At 40.4% G+C, this 21,623-nt stretch overlaps 1 protein-coding gene across 3 annotated transcripts, besides 3 other annotated features; it reads left to right on the top strand.

Moving 5' to 3' along the window:
- Window positions 438–1,163: an enhancer, noted in NCBI's record as "H3K27ac-H3K4me1 hESC enhancer chr3:170588423-170589148 (GRCh37/hg19 assembly coordinates)". NCBI's record gives its function as "activates a minimal SCP1, AML or CMV promoter by ChIP-STARR-seq in naive H9 embryonic stem cells {active_cell/tissue: H9 hESC(naive)}" and the evidence as "EXISTENCE:reporter gene assay evidence [ECO:0000049][PMID:30033119]".
- Window positions 1,164–1,890: an enhancer, noted in NCBI's record as "NANOG-H3K27ac-H3K4me1 hESC enhancer chr3:170587696-170588422 (GRCh37/hg19 assembly coordinates)". NCBI's record gives its function as "activates a minimal SCP1, AML or CMV promoter by ChIP-STARR-seq in primed H9 embryonic stem cells {active_cell/tissue: H9 hESC(primed)}" and the evidence as "EXISTENCE:reporter gene assay evidence [ECO:0000049][PMID:30033119]".
- RPL22L1 (ribosomal protein L22 like 1) lies at window positions 1,602–6,922 on the top strand. Of its 3 annotated transcripts, none has more exons than NR_135259.2 (4): window positions 1,602–1,638; window positions 3,407–3,499; window positions 3,596–3,784; window positions 5,273–6,922. NR_135259.2 is itself a non-coding variant. In NM_001320451.2 (4 exons), the coding sequence occupies exons 1-4, from the start codon at window positions 1,630–1,632 to the stop codon at window positions 5,415–5,417; spliced, it is 366 nt and encodes a 121-aa protein (NP_001307380.1). In that variant the 5' UTR covers window positions 1,602–1,629; the 3' UTR covers window positions 5,418–6,922. The 3 variants fall into 3 exon arrangements, 2 of the variants coding, with proteins under 2 accessions (NP_001307380.1, NP_001093115.1); NM_001320451.2 differs by having other exon boundaries at window positions 3,410–3,499; window positions 3,663–3,784; NM_001099645.2 differs by having other exon boundaries at window positions 3,663–3,784.
- Window positions 2,060–2,109: an enhancer, noted in NCBI's record as "active region_20807". NCBI's record gives its function as "activates an Ori minimal core promoter by ATAC-STARR-seq in GM12878 lymphoblastoid cells {active_cell/tissue: GM12878}" and the evidence as "EXISTENCE:reporter gene assay evidence [ECO:0000049][PMID:35858748]".
- Window positions 6,923–21,623: the final 14,701 nt, after the last annotated feature.

Genomic DNA, 21,623 nt, shown 5'->3' with positions numbered 1-21,623 from the left:
CATTTCTCGCTAATATTCTTGTTTTTTTTTCTAATTGACAAACATTTTTCCCCCATTACAGTTTCTAACTAGTTATTTGGTGATTACTAGTTCTTGTGAAACAGGTATGTTTCCATATCCTCCTTGTACAAATGGCTTAATAGTGCTTAAGGAGTTTATTGTCAAGACATGGAAGACTGCTAAAGACAAGCAAAATAGAATCATTTCTGCCCCTCAGCTTAGGCAGCCCTTGAGGAGGAAATGCCAATTGCTCCCTTTAATGTTTGGAAAGAGAAATGTGATTATTGTAGCTCTTAAGGCAGACAACTAAAAAATCTTGTTGAAATGGATTTCTTCTAGGAATTCAGGGCCTCTCTTCAGACTCTACAAGTCATATGCTCTATTAAAGCATAGTTTCCACGATAACTACTTGCTGGCATAAAGGCCACGAACAGTTCTTACTTTCTGGGGTCATTCTTCAAATTAACAACAAAGTCCACCCCATCCCTTACCCCTACCCCTAGGTATGATAATTTCATCTCCACGAAAACATATTACTGCTAAACCCAAGCGGTTCAGCATGCCACTTTTCGGATCTGATGTCAATTTACAATCCTTCAAAGCTCAAAAGCTACTTTTTCCTTTTGTCAGCAAGACACTTCCACCCTCGTGTGTCTTGTACATACTGATAGGTCACAGCAAACATTCATTGAATTTTAACTGGGAGCATTTTGGATGGAAATCAAGAGACCTGGGATTAACTGTAAAACCCATGATAAATTATACCAAACGAATGAACAAGAAGCAAGCACTACGTGTTTTTCCCTTTGAGACAGTCTCACTGTTACCCAGGCTGGAGTGCAGTGGCTCGATCTCGACTCACTGCAACTTCCGCCTCTCAAGGTAAAGCGATGCTCCTGCCTCAGCCTCCCGAGTGGCTGGGAGTACAGACGCGCACCACCACGCGGGCCATTTTTTTTAAAATTGTTTGTAGAGACGGGTTCTCCCTATGCCTACGCTGCCAAGGGTGGTCTCGAACTCCTGGGCTCAAGAGATTCTCCGGCCTCGGCCTCCCAAAGTGCTGGGATTACAGGCGTGGGCGTGTAAGCATATATATACATGATTTTTTTTTCCCGAGGACCTGGTCCCCGAAGCACCAATTTCCCTCAACAGTCATTTAGAAAACGAGGCTCACAGACAAAACACAAACAAATAACTTTTTCGCTGGAGGATTATAACTGCAATAAAAGGAGATCCCAAAGCAACCTGAGACACTGCCTTGCCCTGATTGGAAAGGGGATTCCGGTGATTAGTGAAAGATGACTCCTGCATCCCTCGCGTGCGTCCGTATCCGGGAGCAGCCACTAGGTAACTGTAGAGGCCACTGCAATTAATCGGCTTGAACAGCCAGGAGCGGAAACCCGAGAGTCAGTTCAACCACAGCCACCCGCGTGTGCCCGCGGAAAGCCGATGGCCTACTCTCGTCCGGCAGCGCACTGGTTTCCTGGGTTACCGGCCTCAGCGCTCCTCCCGCTTTCTTTTCCGGGAGGCGACAATCTGACGCTCTCAGCGCGTGACGCAGCACGCTTTGATATAAATGCAGACCGCGCGGCCGTAGCTTCCTCTCTGCTCTCGCGGCCGACTCGCAAGATGGCGCCGGTGAGTGAGCGATGTCTTGGTGGGAGTGTTGTGTGGCAATTTAATGATTTCCGCTGTAACGATTTTTGCATCTGTCGAGTGGAGACGTCTCAGTCAAGATAAAGGGAGGGGAGTAGTGAAGTCTGGGTCAGAAACACAACCAAGACGCGAGGATCCTGAACTGTTTTTCGAGACTCCCTGGCAGCTGCCATGAGGTCTAGTGGAGTTGGAGCTGGGCCCGGAATTGGTTTAGGATGGGTGGTTTTGGACACGCGGGAAAGAGGGAGGCACAACTGTAAATGGGCCGGTGGTACTGCAATCTGAGCCATTTCTTTACTATCTCGCGCCTGATAATGCTTTTGCCACTCAGCACTGGGTAGGGGAATGGTGGGTAATCGGGCCGGTCTGACGACCTTTGCCAGGCCAGAGGGAGCTCCTAGGCGCTCAGCTCCCGCGATGGCCGACATCACAAGTTTTTGAGAACTTTCAGTTGGGGAAGAAGTTTCTCGGTGAAGTAATTTTTAGAAAAGTATAAGTCTAGATTCCAGCAATGTGAAATAAACGTGCTTCAGATGTTTTACTTAAGTCATTAGTAAGGGAACCAGTAAGATGTTAAAATGTTCCTAAGAATATCTGAAAAGCTAGATATACATGCGCAATTTACAAATAAAGTTAGGATAAAATTGCTGGGCTAGCTACAAAACTGGGTAATGCCCAGCATGGCCATAAACCCTATAGGGTTATCTGTTCCATTAGACAGAAGTTGTTTGTGTCTCCCAAATTAACTTCTGCGCCAACTGGGTAATTATCTTTTGGCACATGTTACCATGCTACCTGAGAAAGCAAACTAATGTGTAATACTTGGTAGCCACTTGGGTGAATCTAAATTGGAGGTTATAGTCTGATAAATACAGATTTGTTTGTTCATATTGCAGTGAATGTACATGGTTGCTGGCCACAGTAACATTTTGCTTATGTAGCCATATTATATGGTCTTGGTATAAAAGGTTTGGATATGGAAAATTTAAGTTCCACGGTGTTGGTTTTTAGGTTTTTTTTTTTTTTTGAGACAGAGTCTGTTGCCCAGGTGGGAGTATAGTGGCATGATCAGGCTCACTACAACCTCCGCCTCCCGGGTTCAAGCAATCCTCCCGACTCAGCCTCCTGAATAGCTAGGATTATAAGCATGCACCACCACACCTGGCTAATTTTTGTATTTTTACTAGAGATGGGGTTTCACCATGTTGGCCAGGCTGGCCTTGAACTCCTGACCTCACGTGATCCTCCTGCCTCAGCCTCCCAAAGTGCTGGGACGGCACCTTGCCTTTTTTATTTTTATTTTTTCTTTTTCTTTTCTTTTCTTTTTTTTTTTTTTTACCAAAGTCCCCTTCCCTTGCCTATAATAACGTAAGAATTGAATTTTCTAGACATAGGTGGGTGGAATCCTAGCTCTGGCACTTACCTGAGCTTGGGCTAGGCAGTATACTAACCTATTCCCATCTGCAGTGGGGTGGCAGAAAAGCACGATAATTTAAAATTGATCATTGGTAGTATAGAAAACAATGAAAGTCCGTAACTTTTTGACAACTTGAACATATTAGGACTTGGTTAGAGGTTCAAATCAACCCCGGCGTGGGTAGTGGTGGTGTTTTTTTATTTATTGTTACATTTCTGTATATGTAACCTAACAGTACATTGTACAGATTGCATTGGTACAAACTTTAAAATTGTTTATATAAATTGAATAAGTTGTTTTATATAGCTACATAATTATTTCTCATTTATGTAGCAGAAAGACAGGAAGCCCAAGAGGTCAACCTGGAGGTTTAATTTGGACCTTACTCATCCAGTAGAAGATGGAATTTTTGATTCTGGAAATTTTGTAAGTATCATTCTACTCGGCTTATTTTTGTAATCAGAGTTATTGATAATGGTTTAAATATATAGTATTTGATAATAACCTAAGCTCTATTCCTAGGGTACCTTCCCTAGTGAATATCTAGGGTTCTCTTCCCTAGTTTTGCATTTTTTCTGTTTTAAAATAGGAGCAATTTCTACGGGAGAAGGTTAAAGTCAATGGCAAAACTGGAAATCTCGGGAATGTTGTTCACATTGAACGCTTCAAGAATAAAATCACAGTTGTTTCTGAGAAACAGTTCTCTAAAAGGTTGGTACTTTTGCAAATTTTAATAAAACTATAGTAGTTTTGGAATATTTCATAGAATATGTAGTTATTACATGTATTCTGTTTATATGCAAGAATAAATATGAACTTTAGACTAAAGGCCTACATAAATGGGAAATTCAGTAAATGAGTGCCAATTGCTGAGTCTAGTTGTAAGTGTCATTTATTGCTAGAATATGAGCCAGTTGTGTCCACAGTCCCAGTCCAGTAAATTATAGGCCCTGTAAATCCAAATTGTATATAACCTTTAATGCTGAGTACTTTAGTATTTGAGTATGTTGCAAGAAACATGTCTGATGTGTACATAGGAGAATTGTCTCAAGTTATTTATTCAGTAGAGGTAGCCAGTTAAAGTCAAAGTCTTAACATCTTGCTGCCAGTTTTTATTTGTTGAATTTATTCACCAAATATTAAATACTACATGGGCAGCACAGGACTGGGTAACCCAACAGTGAACCAAGCAGGCAGTTTACCCACCACCAAGAAACTTCTAGTGGAGAAGAGAGAGTGAAATGGAATTAATCAAGCAGTGATAAGTGCTGTAAGGGCATAAAACTAGTTGCAGAGTTTTTGGGTACGTTGGTAAGTTGGTCAGGAAATGAAATGCAGAAGTGAGCCTTGCAGTTGTTACAGGCAGGATGAACCAGAAGCCTGGCAGATTAAAGTAATAGTAACAAAGCCAGTGTGTCTGGGGTATAGTGTTCTGGGAGGAATGCATGAGATTGGAGGGTGTCTGGGGAGCAGATCTTGAAAGCCATGGGATGTGTAATGGGAAGCAATTGTTTATTGTGGCTGAAAAAGACTAGGGTGATACATCTGGTGGAAACTGAAGATGTAAGAGCTAATTTCAGTGAGAGACAATGATGGCTTGGACTAAAGTGGTTGCAGTACATGTTAACTGAGATTATAATCACTAAGGATTCAGAGATAAAAATGTAGTAGCTGTAGTAGCTGTAAATCAAGTATCTTACAGATAATCAGATAATTATTGTAAAATACAACTCTAGTTACATTAGATGTAGAGAGAGCCCAAGAATTTTCAGAGAAGTTGAGACTTAATGAGCATAGTATGGGTTTAACCCTATTATTAATAGGTTGCCTGTTGAGCCGGGGTGGGATTGGGAGCTAGGGGGCTTGATAGTGGTGAAGGAGGTGTTAACGTTTTCACATATATATACACAGATAATATATTTGAAGAGTGAAATCATATTGCTTAAATAATTTGGCTGTAGCAGTTTGACAAGAGAATGCTACCCTAACAATCTTGAACAATATATAGTGTGGCAGTATGACAAGAGGATGCTACCCTAACAGTCTTACACAATACATCCTGTGAATGGAAGGATGAAATATTTTGGAGGAAGCTAGGTACAGAAAAGATGAATATGATGATGTATATTTTTCGTATAGTAAACCTTTACATAGTAGGAATTGTATTTCTTAATGAAATTTATGTTTTTATTTTAAAAGGTATTTGAAATACCTTACCAAGAAATACCTTAAGAAGAACAATCTTCGTGATTGGCTTCGAGTGGTTGCATCTGACAAGGAGACCTACGAACTTCGTTACTTCCAGATTAGTCAAGATGAAGATGAATCAGAGTCGGAGGACTAGGCAAAGGCTCCCCTTACAGGGCTTTGCTTATTAATAAAATAAATGAAGTATACATGAGAAATACCAAGAAATTGGCTTTTAGTTTATCAGTGAATAAAAAATATTATACTCTTGAACTTTTGTCTCATTTTTTTGAGTATGCTGTTTATATGATTTTGATTTCCCTCTGATAACTATCAACAGTATTTAAATAGCTTATAGCTGGTATAATTTTTTCCCACGATTTCCAAAATCTTTTATGTACTCAGGTAAAAGTAGCGTTATATAGGAAATCTTTTTTTTAGACACTCTCGTTCTGTCACCCAGGCTGGAGTGCAGTGACTCAGCTTCCTAAATAGCTGGAATTACAGGTGTGAGCCACCATGCCCGGCTAATTTTTTGTACTTTTAGTAGAGTAGGGTTTGGCCATGTTGGCCAGGCTGGTTTCAAACTCCTGACCTCAAGTGATCTACCCACCTCGGCTTCCCAAAGTGCTGATTATAGCTGTGAACCACCATGCCCGGCCAGGAAATCTTACTGTAGAACAATTTTTTATATAGCTGTATAAAATGTATATGATTGTCTTGACAGTCTCAAATACTGTTTTTAATAGCTTGTAAATGTAATCTCAAGTGCTTAGAACAGTTCTTACATATAAGTTGCTCTGTAGTTTGCTCTTATAGTTAGCCCAAAGACTCTGGGTGTGAGGCCTGCTGTAAACCAATGTTAAACTGCTTATTAGAAAGCCCTAACCACCTGCTTTGTAGGCACCAGAAACTCAAAACCAAATCTCAACTCAGCTACAGAATCTACTGTGGTCCTTGTCTGAAAAAATTAGTTCACTCGGTTGGAATCTTGTCTCAGAGCATCCTCATCTCTTTCTCAAAAGCCCCTACCCCAACACCGGCGTGTTGGTTGTCTATTGAAACTTACAAGTGGATGGACCCTTTCTCCCGAATAAACTGGCCTTTGAAAGCTCTAATCGAAATGGTTTGGCAAAATCCATACTGCAGGAGATTAGGGAGGACAAGAATGATGTGCCTTTTTGTACTGCTGAGCCTGATGGTGGTGCCACTACTTCAGGTACTTAGATGAGTCTTGATGCTAATAGAATTGTGTCGCCAAACATATCTGGACAGTTACAACCTAATCTATGCATTAATTGGTTTGGGAATTGCTTGAAATTATTGTTTAATTCAATGTTTTAATTCGTTTTCCTAAAAATTTAAGTGCCCCCATCATCGTGCAATACCTCAGTGCAGCAACTCCTTGATTCTTGGATGACTGAACTTCCTAACTTGGCTCTGCCCCATTGTTCCCATTTTTCATGTTTTTCACAAATAGTTAACCAGGTACCTACTACTGTGCACCGCTGCAGAGCATTGAGGATGTATGTGATGAGTAAAAACACCCAGCCTGCTCTGCTGTGTTAGTATTATGACGGAAACTGATCAAATCACATGTGAACAAATTTACTGCTACAAAAGGGAGGGCTTAATAAAAGGAATTTCATCTGGGAAGGCAAATGAAGTTTGTGAGCACTTTATAGAACAGGGAAGGTAGGCAGTATCTGGGAAGGGGAAAGTAGGGCATTCCAGACAGAGGGAGGAGCACTTCTGAAGTTCTCAGGGCATTGGGAGTCTGGTTGGCCAGAGTACATTCTGGAATAGATGTGATCATGAGGATAATCTGGAAAAGTAGAAGCTAGCCAATGCAGGACTGAAGTCCATGTTTTCATCTTGAGGGCAATGGGAGCTTGTAATGAAAGTAACGTGACCTGATGAGATATGCATTTTGAAAAAGATCAGACTGTATTGTGGAGAATGGATTTGTTGTTGTTTTGTTTTTTGAGATGGAGTCTCACTTCGTTGCCCAGGCTGGAGTTCAGTGGCATGATCATGGCTCACTGCAACCTCCACCTCCTAGGCTCAAGTGATAATCCTGCCTCAGTCTCCCGAGTAGCTGGGATTACAGGTGCCTATCCCACGCCCAGCTAACTTTTGTATTTTTTTTAGTAGAGATGAGATTTCACCATGTTGGCTAGGCTGGTCTTGAAATCCTGACCTCAAGTGATCCACCTGTCTCGGCCTCCCAAAGTGCTGGGATTACAGGTGTGAGCCACCGCACCAGACCTGTTCTCAGTATTTTACATGAATTGAATCATTTATCATCATAACATTCTTTTGAGATAAGTATTAATATCCACATTGGCAGCTAGGGAAACTGAGGAACATAGAGTTAAGTAATTCGTCCAAAGTCACACAGTAAGTTATGCAACCCAAAGTTGAGAAAGAGGGTAGCTTTGGGAAATCGGACAGGGACAATGCAAATTTTAAGGTTAAATTGCATTTAGGAAGTAATGAACAGTGAGGATGGGTGAAATTGCCTGACAGAAATGTCATGATCTGATCTAGTTTAGATTACAGTGAAGTATTTCGTTAGTCTATGACAAGAAGGAATGAGAATGCAGAGAATCTCTTAATCAGACTATGCATTTTGAGAATGTGACTTCACAGTCGTGAAGCTGACTTTATTCTGAAGGGCTGAATATTCTGAAAGAGAGCAAATGAGAATCAAGTATTGACAAACACCAATTGCTTCCTCCATTCTTTTCCTAGAGTGATCTTTCAAAAACACATCTGATATTCACATGTTTAAAATTCTTGAAAGCTAATTTAGCATTTAATATTTATTATGTGCCAGGGACTGGGTATATTATGTCAAGTAAGATATTCATGCCTTTAAGGTGTTGGGAGGTTTGTTAAATAATAAAATTTATTGAGGGCTACTGCAGGCCAGGTACTGTTTTGGATACTGAAGTAAACAAAATGGAAACTCCTGCCTTCATGAAGATTACAATCCAGCGGAGGAAGACAGACAATAAAATAAATAAAGTGTATGTTACATGGTGGTAAATGCTATGAAGAAAAATAAAGGAAATAGGGAATGTAGGAAGGAAGGTGTGTTACATTTATAAGTAGGATGAGGGAACATCCTCACTATTCCCCTCCTCACTTTACTGAGAAAGGCTCATTTGAGTAAAGACCTAAAGGAGATACTGAATCTAACCAAGTAGATGTCTTGGGGAGAAGTACTTCAGGCATAAAAAATAGCAAGTGCAAAGGCCCGAAGGCACGAGCACCCCTGGTATAATCAAGGAACAACAAGGAGGCCTCTATGACCTGAGCTGAATGAATGGTGGAGAGTAGAGATTAGAGAAGTAAAAAGAGGTATACATGGGGTGTGGAGAGTGGGATGATGGTATATGAGTTATCGATTACACTAAAGTGTAGCAACTTGAAAGAAATATATCTCACATTTCCTGAGGCTCAGGAATTGGAGCAGCTTATCTGCATAGCTCTGGTTCAGGGTTTCATGAGGTGGCAATCAAGCTGTGAGCCTGCACTGAAGTCATGGGAGAGTTACCAAACTACTGCCTGTTTTTGTAAATAAGATTTTCTGGGAACACGTTAATTTTCATGTTGTGTATGATGGAAAAGTTGAGTAGTTGCAATATAAACCACATGGCCTGCAAAGCTCGAACTATTTACCATCCAACCCTTTAAAAAAAGTGGCTTGACTGAAGCTGGAAGATCAGCCTCCATGCACACTGACAGAGCGGTTGGCAGGAGAATTCAGTTCGCCGGAATTCTTGCTATGTGGCCTCTGTATGACACTGCTGATAACATGACAGCTGGTTTCCCCCAGAGCAAGTGATCCGAGGAGGAAGAAAGAAACCAAGATGGAAGCCACAGTGTCTATAACCGAATCTCAGAAGTAACATGTCATCACCTTTTCTTTATTTTACTGATCACATAGACCAGTCTTGGAAGAGAATAACAAATACCAGGAGGTGGGGATCATTTTGGGGGGCCATCTTGGGGGCTGGCTACCACTGAGGGGATATCAAGTAGGGAGAGTTCTGTAGGCTATTACAAGGGCATCAGCTGTTTTTCTGGGTACATATAAAGTACTGGGGAGCTACAGATAGACTTGAGCAGAGAAATGTCATGATCTGATATATTTTAGATTACAGTGAAGTATTTCGTTAGTCTATGACAAGAAGGAATGAGAATGCAGAGAATCTCTTAATCTCAATCAGACTATCCATTTTGAGAATGTGACTTCACAGTCGTGAAGCTGACTTTATTCTGAAGGGCTAAGAGATTCTTAGATTTTCTTGCCTTGCAGTCTCTGCAAGAGCTGGGCAAATTTTTGTTTTCTTTTTAACTTTTTATGGTTTTTATTTATTTTTAACTTTTTATTATGAAACATTTCAATTACATATGTAAGTAGAAAAAATGTGTTTAATCTATATTCCTTCTACTCCCACATCCCCAGATTATTTTGAAGCAAGTTCCCAACATTTTATCATTTCTTCTATAAACTTATGCTTATATCTCTAAATGTAGTGTCTAAAAGATAAGGACTCTTTAAACATAACTGCCATACCATTATCACACCTATAACAAACAAATTAACAATAATTTCCTGTATTACCCAATGCCCACTCAGTGCTTAAATTTCCCCAAATATCTGGCAATTTTTAGCTTTGTACAAAGTACAGTTGTAATAAGGTCCACAGTTGCAATTAAATGTCTCTTAAACCTCCTTTAAAAGTTTGCCCCCTGCAGCCTGGGCGACAGCGCAAGACTGTCTCAAAAAAAAAAAAAAAAAAAAAAAAGTTTGCCCTCACTCTATTTCTCTCTACTCCCCCATCCCAATTTCTTTGTTTATCACACTAGGTCATTTGTCCTGTAGAATTTTCTCAATTCAGATTTTCATAATTCCCCTCCCCATAGTGTCATTTAATGTGGTCCTCTGTCCACTGTATTTCCTAAAAATTGATGGTCGGATCTAGAAGTTTGATCAATATCAGATTCAAGTGATATTTTTTTACCTGAATACTTAAAAGTGCCATTGTGTATATCTCTTAAGAAGTATGTAATGTCTAGTTTCCTCTTCTGTCGTGTTAGCAGCCATTGATGACCATTGCCTAGATCATTGTTTCCCTAAATGTTGCCCAATGTTAATACTCTATCATTCCTTTTTCACTTAGTAACTAGAATACCCCTATAAAGAGGTACTTCTCGTCAACCCTGAGGTACAGTTCACATAAGAAAGATAGGATAAATGATGCTTCTTTTCCTCTATATTATAATTTTTCAAGTTAATTCCCAATCAGATATTCTCTAAAGGTGATCAGTGAGGGTTTTATTTTTGTTATTTGGTTTTGTTTCAGTTTCTTTGTTTTAGTATCATATTGAACCTATGATGAAAAAGATATGTTATATTCTAATCCATTGTAGTTACTCTTACTTGCAGGGACCAGCCCCACAGGGTCGGTGGGTCTGTCCGTGTGTGCGGAGATGACAGAGTGTAGAAATAAAGACACAAGACAAAGAGATAAAAGAAAAGACAGCTGGGCCCGGGAGACCACTACCACCAATGCGCAGAGACCGGTAGTGGCCCCGAATGCCAGGCTGCGCTATTTATTGGATACAAAGCAAAAGGGGCAGGGTAAAGAGTGTGAGTGATCTCCAACGATAGGTAAGGTCACGTGGGTCACGTGTCCACTGGACAGGGGGCCCTTCCCTGCCTGGCAGCTGAGGCAGAGAGAGAGAGGAGACAAAGAGAAAGACAGCTTACGCCGTTATTTATGCATATCAGAGACTTTTAGTACTTTCACTAATTTGCTACTGCTATCTAGAAGGCAGAGCCAGGTGAACAGGATGGAACATGAAGGCGGACTAGGAGCGTGACCACTGAAGCACAGCATCACAGGGAGACGGTTAGGCCTCTGGATAACTGTGGGCGAGCCTGACTGATGTCAGGCCCTCCACAAGAGGTGGAGGAGCAGAGTCTTTTCTAAACTCCCCCGGGGAAAGGGAGACTCCCTTTCCCGGTCTGCTAAGTAGCAGGTGTTTTCCCTTGACACTTACGCTACCGCTAGACCTCGGTCCGCCTGGCAACGGGCATCTTCCCAGACACTGGCGTCACCGCTAGACCAAGGAGCCCTTCTGGTGGCCCTGTCTGGGCATAACAGAAGGCTCGCACTCTTGTCTTCTGGTCACTCCTCACTATGTCCCCTCAGCTCCTATCTCTGTATGGCCTGGTTTTTCCTAGGTTATGATTATAGAGCGAGGATTATTATAATATTGGAATAAAGAGTAATTGCCACAAACTAATGATTAATTATATTCATATATAATCATATCTAAGATCTATATCTGGTATAACTATTCTTGTTTTATATTTTATTATACTGGAACAGCTCATGTCCTCGGTCTCTTGCCTCGGCACCTGGGTGGCTTGCAGCCCACATCTCCCCCCTTTTTATTAACTAGGATCGCCATCGCCATCATTGCTTGTCGTTGACTTCGGACTTGGTTTCGGACTCCTTGGAGGCATCTGCAGACTAAAAGGAGACTACATAAGCATACCAATATTAATAATGCCAGTAACAACAATGATCCTCCGAAGGGTTTGAGCCATTTGAAGGGATTAAAATCAGATAATTGTTTAGTTATGCCTTGAAAAATATCTGAGCCAGGAACAGTGGATAAATGGGCTTGTGAAGTCTCAAAGAATTGCTCTTTAAGTTGTGAAATATCCAACGTTATGTTATCATCACAGGTTTTTAAATGTCTTGAGACCTTTTCCCAGCTATGTTGATCTTGATTATAAGCATAAGGCGTTATGCAATAATCAGAAGTATTCCAATCACACTATAATTGCATACAGTGTTCCAAGTTCATAACTTTATCTCCCAGCCAGGTTACACTTTGGCGGAGATCATTAATTTGATTAGCTAATTTTTGAACAAATTGAGCCTGAGAATTCCAAAGTCTGGAGGAGTTTTTTTGCCATGCTTCAACATAGTGAGCAGTTTGAACAGAATTGTGGATGGCAACTCCAGCAGTTGCCGCTGTTGCAGTAACCGCAATTAGTCCTGCAAGGACTGCATTAAGAGTAAAAATAAATCTCTTTGTTCTTTTGAGGATACCTTTAAGAACTTCATTGACTGTGTGAATAGAGGGGGAAGACTCCCATGGACGATGTAAAGAAACTGGTATCCATACCCCCTCTCCAGCCCTAACTAAGAGAATACTTGTAGTGGGATTAAAAGTAGTATCAATGCACGTGAACAGCTTACAGTTATCACATTGTATAGTTTGTGTATTAGGAATAATAATTATATTTCCAACCAACAGCATGTAAGGGGGTTTGACACAGCTGCTGATGGGTATCACCCGTTCAGATATGAAGGTGATGTTGAATGTGGGTGTTTTGGTATTAGTACGAAGGAGTTGATAGGTAGTGTTCCATATCCTTATTCCTGTCAAGGCTGCAGCTAATTTCCATAGTTCAGGATGTTCTGGGGTAACAAAGGGATGAATCATTTTTGGTCTAGGAGGAGCAATGCCTGCATCCGTCCATCCATTTGAATGGGTAAGGAGACACCCATTGTCTCAGCCTGTAAGACTGCCATCCATTCTCCATATAATCTAATAAATAAATAAACTCTGAGCATGAGGTATTTTTGCCGGAGCAATCTTGCGAATAATGCCCTTTTGGAGCCCAATCAATAGCAATACCCGTGGCTAGACTTTGGAGCACAACAGCTTTGGAAGCATTACAATTATCCCATAAAACTGAAGTCACTATAAGAGGCCCCTTTGTAGGTTTCTTCGGGCAGTCTGGCAGTTCTTTTGTTTTATTAGTTTTGGTAGTTACACTTACTAATATGCAAATGGTCTCATACTGAGCCAATAGGAGCCTCTTCAGGTTGACTCTTGTATCCTTTTGGCATGATCTTATTTGGATTTTATTGCTTATTTGGTTTCTGGTATAATAGGATGTGCTAGGCTCTTCCAAATTTCCTGCCTCAGATCTGGAGTCATCCGTTTTTTTGTTGTTGTTGTTTGCTTGTTTTTTTGAGACAGAGTCTTGCTCTATCACCCAGGCTAAGTGCAGTGGCGCGATCTTGGCTCACTGCAACCTCCGCCTCCCAGGTTCAAGTGATTCTCCTGCCTCAGCCTCCTGAGTATCTGGGACTACAGGCATGTGCCACCATGCCTGGCTAACTTTTGTATTTTTAGTAGAGACGTGGTTTCGCCATGTTGGCCAGGCTGGGCTTGAACTCCTGACTTCAAGTGATCCTCCTACCTTGGCCTCCCAAAGTGCTGGGATTACAGGGGTCAGCCAGTGTGCCTGGCCAGGAGTCATCCATTTCTACAAGGAGCTCTGGACTATTTTCTAGGTGCTGGAGATGCTTGTCATTACTGGGGTGGTGTTTGTTTCTAGGCCTTTTGAGTGGACAGAGTGAAGGAATACATTTTTGTTCTTAAGAGGAAATGATATGTTTATTCTGATGCTTCCAATTCAAAATCAGGATAAAAGAGTTTTTATTTCATCAATTGTATGACCATATCTCTTTTTTCCCATGCTGAAAGTTCCAGTTCTCAATGACACCAACACAAATGCTCATTTGCTTTATCTCACAATATACACATAATAGTTTCAATAAAATAATACCAACAAAACTACCTATAATATAATGACTTTACAGCTTAAGATTGTTTTGCAGTTCTTTTTGTCCTTATGGTATATCCCACTAGAAATGAACAAAGTTTCGTGTTTTAAAGTCACTAGAAATGATTCATCTCTGTGTGGGCGTAGAACAAGCTTGATACACAGAGTCATTTGTTTCATTTTGCTTTTGATTAAAAAGTTTGCTTAAGCCCACTTTGTTTTTTATAATTCTGTAAAATATTTACAGGATTCTAAAGTCCAATCTACAAAACAAAGTATATTTAGAAAAGTCTAGTTTCTCTGTCTTTTTTTTTTTTTTGAGACAGAGTCTCGCTCTGTTACCCAGGCTGGAGTGCAGTGGTACAATCTCAGTTCACTGCAACCTCTGCCTCCTGGGTTCAAGCAATTCTCCTGCCTCAGCCTCCTGGGTAGCTGGGACTACCAGCTCCTGCCACCACACCCGGCTAATTTTTGTATTTTTAGTAGAGAAGGGGTTTCACTATATTGGCCAGGCTGGCCTCGAACTCCTGAACCTGTGATCCACCCGCCTTGGCCTCCCAAAGTGCTGGGATTACAGGTATGAGCCACCGTGCCCAGCCCCTAGAGAGGAGTTGTAAACCTGAGACTTACAGGTCAAAAGATAAATGAATGTGTAATTTCTAGATATTGCTGAATTTCCCTTTACAGGGGTTGTAGCATTTTGCTCTCCCACTAGCCTTCCCACCAGCAATCTGTGAAATCTGTTTTCCTGTAGACACACCAAGAGATAACCTTGTCCAATTTGAGGCTTAACTGACAGGTGAGACCTGGTTTTCAGGGTAATTTTCCTTTGCATTGTATTTGTGAGTGAGGTTGAATGTCAATAAGGGTCATTTGCATATCTTTCTCTGTGAGCTGCCTGTTTATATCTCTAATATATATCTGTGGAATTCTTGTTTTTATTTTTAATTTTTTACTTTTAGAAGCTCCCTCTATGTTAAGGCTATTAACTCCTTGTGTGTGATGTAAATTACAATTTCTTTTTTCAGCTTCTCATTTGTCTTTTTCCCCTACTTATGGTATTTTTGTTTTTTAACTTTTTTTTGAGACAAGCCCTTGCTCTGTTGCCTAGGCTGGATCATGGCTCACTGCGTCCTTGACTTCGTAGATTCAAGCCATCCTCCCACCTCAGTCTCCTGAGTAGCTGAGACTACAGGCACACACCACTACCTGGCTCATTTTTTAAAAAATTTGGGTAGAGATGGGGTCTTGCTATATTGCTCAGGCTGGTCTTGAATTCCTGAGTTCAAACAATCCTCCTGCCTGAGCCTCCCAAAGTGCTATTATTGCAGGTGTGAGCCACCATACCCAGCTGCTATTTTTCTTTTGTTTTATTACTAGTTTTCATTTTGTTTTGTTGTAGTTGTTGCTATAGAAGCATTATTTTTATTTTTATGTAATTAAATCAATTAACTTTTTTCTTATTGCCATGGTTAGAAAAGCTTTCCCCGTTATCAAGAATTCATTTATGTTTTCTGCTAGTACTTACATATTTTCATCTTAAAAAAATGTAGGTCTCTATTCTATTTGGAATTTATCCTGGTTTACAATTTGAGAAGTGGATCCAATTATACCTTTTTCCCATGTGACTACCCACCTATACCATTACCCCTGATGAAAAAGTTCCCAGGAAGTTTTGCTTAGCATAGGTTTTCCTACTTACTGTCTGGAAACCCTTGTATGTGGTCATGCTGAAGGGACTGGAGTCTAGATATATAGCTTCAGTGTGTGCTCTTTTACAAGCTGGATGATTAAAATGCCAGGAAGGCCAGTTTTAAACAATGTGTTGCATTTACAAATGGCTTTCTCTTTTCTTTTGATCCCTTAACAGCCCTCTGTGGCACAATATTATCTTCCCATTTTTCAGATGAAAAAACCAGGTCTCAGGTTTACTGGCTTGCCCATGGTCACACCATGGCACCCACCTCTCACTCCTCACCCAGTGCTCCTCCCACACACGGGGCCATGTCACACATCCTGCCTCTCTGTTGCCTACTAGCTTTGTGACCTTGGACACATCTCTTCACCCTCTGGGCCTCAGTTTCCCCTTCTGTATATAAAGAAGTGGTTAAAAATAGGTCAGCATTTCTCGGGCTTTAGTAACACCTGCTTCCTTTTGATAAACACAGATATTTCTCATGTTCCTTGTTCCCAGTTCCAATTGCCACCCTGTGATATAACTGATGCATAAATATCCCCACCAACCAAGGTATTTTGGGGCTTTCTATTCTGAAACAAAACAAAGTAAGATTTTTGGGATAATTTTCCCACTATAAACTCATAATATTGGATATACCTTTTTTTTTTTTTTTTTTTTTTTTTTTTTGAGACGGAGTCTTGCTGTGTCGCCAGGCTGGGGTGCAGTGGCGCAATCTCGGCTCACTGCAACTTCCGCCTCCCAGGTTCAAGCGATTCTCCTGCCTCAGCCTCCTGAGTAGCTGGGATTACAGGCCCACACCACCACACCTGGCTAATTTTTTGTATTTTAGTAGAGATAGGGTTTCACCAGGTTGGCCAGGATGGTCTCGGTCTCCTGACCTCATGATACACACAAGCTTCTTGAGAGTAACATACTTCCCCCATGATAAGGCTTTTTTTTTCTGTCCTAAAATCCTATGAGTTAATGAGCCAAACTGGGAATCATGATCTGCTATCTCAATTATGATGGAATAGATATGTTTTCTCCCAAGGGAGGGAACACTGCAACTCCTCTCTCCCTCTTTCTCTGAGATGGGGAGGTGTGAATTACAGATTCCATACATGTCACAAATATATGGTCAATGATTTCTGCCTTGGCAGTCGCAGTCATGGGAGATGATGGGTGAGTTATATATACTCTCTGCACTCAAGGAAATCCCAGTTCTAACGAGGGGAGCAAATGTGGGTACAAATGACTTTAGGTAAGTGTGGTTCATGCAGTAATAGAGATATTACAAAATGCTTTAGAAGCACCAATACCATAATGAGTGGGAAAAGGAATCCAAGAAGGCCTTCTGCAGGAGGTGGCTTACCCTGACTTCTCTTTAAGGAAGAATGGGAATTGATGGGGCAGAGAAGAAGAGGGAGAGAATTCCAGGCTGAGGAGGAATGGTGATAGTGGCTACTACTCATCGAAGGCATCTGTTTTGGAATCTTTACATACTACATCTCATTTAATTTCCACAGCTACCCTTCAAGCTAGTTATTAGTCCCCTTTTACAAATCAGAAAACCAAGGGCTTAGAGTGCTAAACAGTCGGTCTACGGCCACACAGCTAATAAGTTCCAAATTGGAATTTAAATTCAGATCTCTCTGGCTTCAATGCTCATGCTCTGTAAATGCTTTAGTGTAAAAAAATGTTTCTAAATTTCTCCCTGCCAGGCAATCTTTTCTCACAGTGATGCACATTCAGCTGGCTCCTTAGGAGAACCAAGCCTAAGAATAATCTAGCTTTTGAAGAGAACCAAGCTTCTTTTTTCCTCTTCTGGAGAACCACAAACTGGCTTAACAGAGGGCTCTCTGACGCACAGTTTTATTGTAAGAAGGCCAGTCACAGGAGACGGCCTACTGCCTTCAAGAAACAGCATGGAAGATTCCTTATTTCATCACCCCTGTACTTTTCATTGAGGTATGAAACAGACTTTTCCAATGAGACTTTTTCTCTCCTATTTCAGCTGAGACTCCAAGAACTGAGAACAAAATTAAGGTGCCAAATATTCCCACATTCCAAATCTATGCAGAGCTTACAAAGGAGGTGCTCCAGCTCCAGTTTTCTAAGACTTAGTTCATTTCCTACTTCCAGGACACATGAGAAATTGAAGACTTTTAGGCATTTGACTCATCCTTGAGAAAAACTAAGGCAAAGGCAGTGGCTGGAGCAGTTTGCCTACGGGAGAGCAATGAGGGGTACATTTCCATAGCTACAAGGAGGCACAGGTGCTTCCCCTGGACCAGATGTAGTCCACAGATGTAGTGCACGGGGAAGGACCAGGCTTGGGTTGAGTTCTTGTTCACCTAAGAGGACTGCTTGGGAGAGAAGTGGGACCCCAAACAGAAAGAGTCTGTGTATAAGGGACAACCACATGCTCAGGAGCTACAGGTAGTGAGTGAAGATCCTGAGAAATGGCATTGCTTATGTCACGAATGTTGCAGCAAAAGATTCTCTGTGATAAATCTTTGAGAAATCCAGAAATGTATACTTCAAGAGAAAGAAGAAGCCTTGAACTTTCTTCAAGCCCAGAAAGCCACATCACCAAACTGTAGTGGTGGAGACAGACCTTTTCTGTCCCTTCCTTTTGCCTCCCAGACCCTGCTCATTTCAAGGCCAACCCCAGAGAAGCCAGAGGCAGCCTATTGAAGTTGGAGGAGGTACACACCTTGGAATTCCCTGGTACACAAACTAATACCACTGCCTTTTTGTTTAAGCTATATCATAAACATTCTGACACTTTGACAGAATTTTTGGTTTATTTGTTTTCCTCCCTCACTAGACTGTAAATACTTCGAGGCTAAAAACCAGGTCAAATTTATCTCTGTGTGCCTTTCTGGGTAAGCAAATCCATATAACTACAAAAGAATCCCAAGTCAGATAATTAGTAACATTACCTTTCATTCATAAATGTAGAAAGGCAACCAAGGTTCACTCAAAATGAGTAGAACCAACAGTATCAAAGAAAATGATTGGAATGAACAAATTAAAACAAGTGACCCAGGACAGATATGCAAGTAGCAGAAGAAAGTTTCCCTCCGCCCAAGAAAATCTGGATCCTCATATTGCGAGGTAGGCCAGGTAGGATGAAGGGAAAAGCTCATAACTTCCTGAAGAAGTTTCAGTACTCCAAAGGATAAAAAGAAAATCCCAAAAGCTTCCAGAGGGAAGAGAAAACAAAACAAAACAGTTTACCTACAAAAAAATAATCTTGAATTGGACCTACTAAGGGAGTGCACTAAGCTTACCAGCAGGAATGTCTGGGTCTCATCAGCTATAAGAATCCTTTCCTGTCCTTAGGCTTCCTGTTTTCTATAAATTAAGAGATTAAACCAGCAGATTTCTGTTTCTCTCTCTCTCTCTCTCTGTCTCTCTCTCTCTCTCTCGCTCTGTGTGTGTGTGTGTGTGTGTGTGTGTGTGTGTGTGTGTGTGTGTGTGTTTCCAGGTCTGACTTGCTGTGAATGCTTGTTGATGTACTCCAAGGCTGACCTCTCTTTTGGAGCTTTCCTCATGAAACCCAACAGGCCACTCCATAAATCCACAACACATACAGTGGATTTTTTTTTTAAACTGCCATATGCTTTAAATAAGCATGTGAGTTTATTGCCTGAACACATGCTGATTTATCAACTCAATCTTATTTCTTAAGGACAGGAATAGTGGTTTCGAGTACAGTACACTATAAATAGAAAACACAACACGTGACTGCTGGATTAATCAATCAGCGAACTTTTATGAGCATCTGCAGTATGTCTCTTTCTGTCTCTCTTTTTTTTTTTTTGAAACAGGGTCTCGCTGTCTCACTCAGGCTAGAGTGCAGATCACAGTTCACTGCAGCCTTCACTTCCTGGACTCAAGGATCTTCCCACCCCAGCCTCCCAAGTAGCTGGGACTACAAGTATGTGCCATGAAACCCAGCTAATTTTTATTCTCTCTCTCTCTCTTTTTTTTTTTTTTTTGTAGAGATGAGGTCTCGCTATATCCCCCAGGTTGGTCTTGAACTTGTGGGCTCAAGGATCCTCCTGCCTCAGCCTCCCAAAGTGCTGGGATTACAGGAGTGAGCCATTGTGCCCAGCCAATATGTCTCATACCATGAAAAGTCATAGGATTTTGAGAAGACCATACAGATCTTTTGCTCCAGTGTTTATCAAAGTGCATAAAACAGGACTGTAGTTCCATGTGAACATAGTAAGTAGTACAGTAACAACAAAATAACACATGGGAAATGGACAGTTAAGCAAACTAAACATTTATTTGCTTTGGGAATTTTTCAGGTCTTTGTGACTCTCCATGCATCGGTTCCCCCAAATATGTAGCTTTGCTCAAATGTAGTGGATCATAGAGTACTTTTATTTACCAACTCAAGAAAGCATATGAGTTTCTAGATCTAACTGATGGTTTACAAAAGATGCAGTGGGTAAAGAACATATTAAATGATACCAGGAGGATTTAATCAGCCATTCCAGAATGTAAGAGATTCTACAAGATAAATGACCAGTTTCTCCAATGACAAAGAAATAGCATTAACAGAAGAGGGTGGGCCAGTTATAGAACAAAAGAGATTTAAGAGAAAAATCACCATATGTAATATGGGGACTTTTTGGAAAATGATCCAAACAAACCAAATGCAAATAGATATTTTTGAGATAAGCAAAGATAATTGAACATGAACTGGGTATTAAAAAATATAAGCATTACATATTCTAAAACCTAACTATTGTTCATTTTACTCAGTGTGATTATGATATTACTGTTATTTTTTAGTTTGTTTTGATATACATACTGAAGTAGTAAAGGTAAATTAATACCAGAATTTTCCTGTAAACATATACTGGTAATGCTTTTCTCCTTGATATGAGTGTTTTGTAGGTGGGTATGTTAACTTTATTAAAAAGATGTTCTTAACACTTATGATTTGTTCACTTTCTATGTGTAAGTCCTATTTCAAAAATTTTATATATAATTTAAATATTATATATGCATATATAATGCATATAGGTGGTTTAAAAATCAGTTTCTATTGTAAAAGAGTACACAGTGAAAAGTATTCCTTCCTTTCCCTGAAGCCTACTGACCCGTTTCTTCTCTCAAAGACAATGACTATTACCAGCATTCATCTGAAGGTATTTTTATTTTATGTGTGTACAAGTATGTCTATGCAGATATGTCTTGGATATAATCCATGTAAGTATATATAGATTTTTCCATTTTTAGTAGTAACATGTTATTTTATTGTGTGTTTTACTGTGTGTTATTTGCCTGGTCACTTAGTGCTGGAAATTTAGGCAGTTTACAGTTTTTGTACAGTTTTTGTACAGTCTTTATGCTCATGGGTTTTTAAATGTTAATAGATGTTGCCAAATTGTCCTCCAAGATGTCTGTACTAGTTTACCTCCATTTCCACCCAGTAATATATATATCACGGTGCTCAAGTTCACAGTATACTGAGTCATATATAGTAATGCCCTCAAGAGGGAGGTATCTTTAAAATAAATTCAGGATAAATTGACCTTTGATTATAACTGTTCTTACTCAAATACCTTAAACAAGGAAGACACAGCTTATTTGTGTATAAAATTAGTATAGCAGAATGTCTACTTAAGTACTTCTAGAATTAAAGCTTTTCTCTTCTAAATGGTGTGAAAAATGGCTATAGTAATCAAGATTGTGTGGTGCTGACAGAGAGACTATAAAGGGTTGGTTCAGTACTATGCACAAGATGTAGCACCAGGTGCTTTAAATATATTATCTTATTTTCTACTGATACATTTTATAAATGAAGTAATTGAGACTCAGAATGACTAAATAGCAAAGCTGGAATTGGAACCACTTGCAATTGGTCTGATTCCACAGCCTGTTTTTTCCACTTCTTCAAAGCAGAAAGGTATGAGCAGGAGGAAATAGAGCTATAGTACATGGCATGAGTGGAAGGGTATGGGGAACATTGGAGGAAAAGTTTGAAAAAT

This window comes from Homo sapiens, chromosome 3 (genome assembly GCF_000001405.40).
Source record: "Homo sapiens chromosome 3, GRCh38.p14 Primary Assembly".
NCBI lineage: Eukaryota > Metazoa > Chordata > Mammalia > Primates > Hominidae > Homo > Homo sapiens.
Note: the sequence above shows the minus strand (reverse complement) of the source record. Positions and strands in the feature narration are given on the sequence as shown.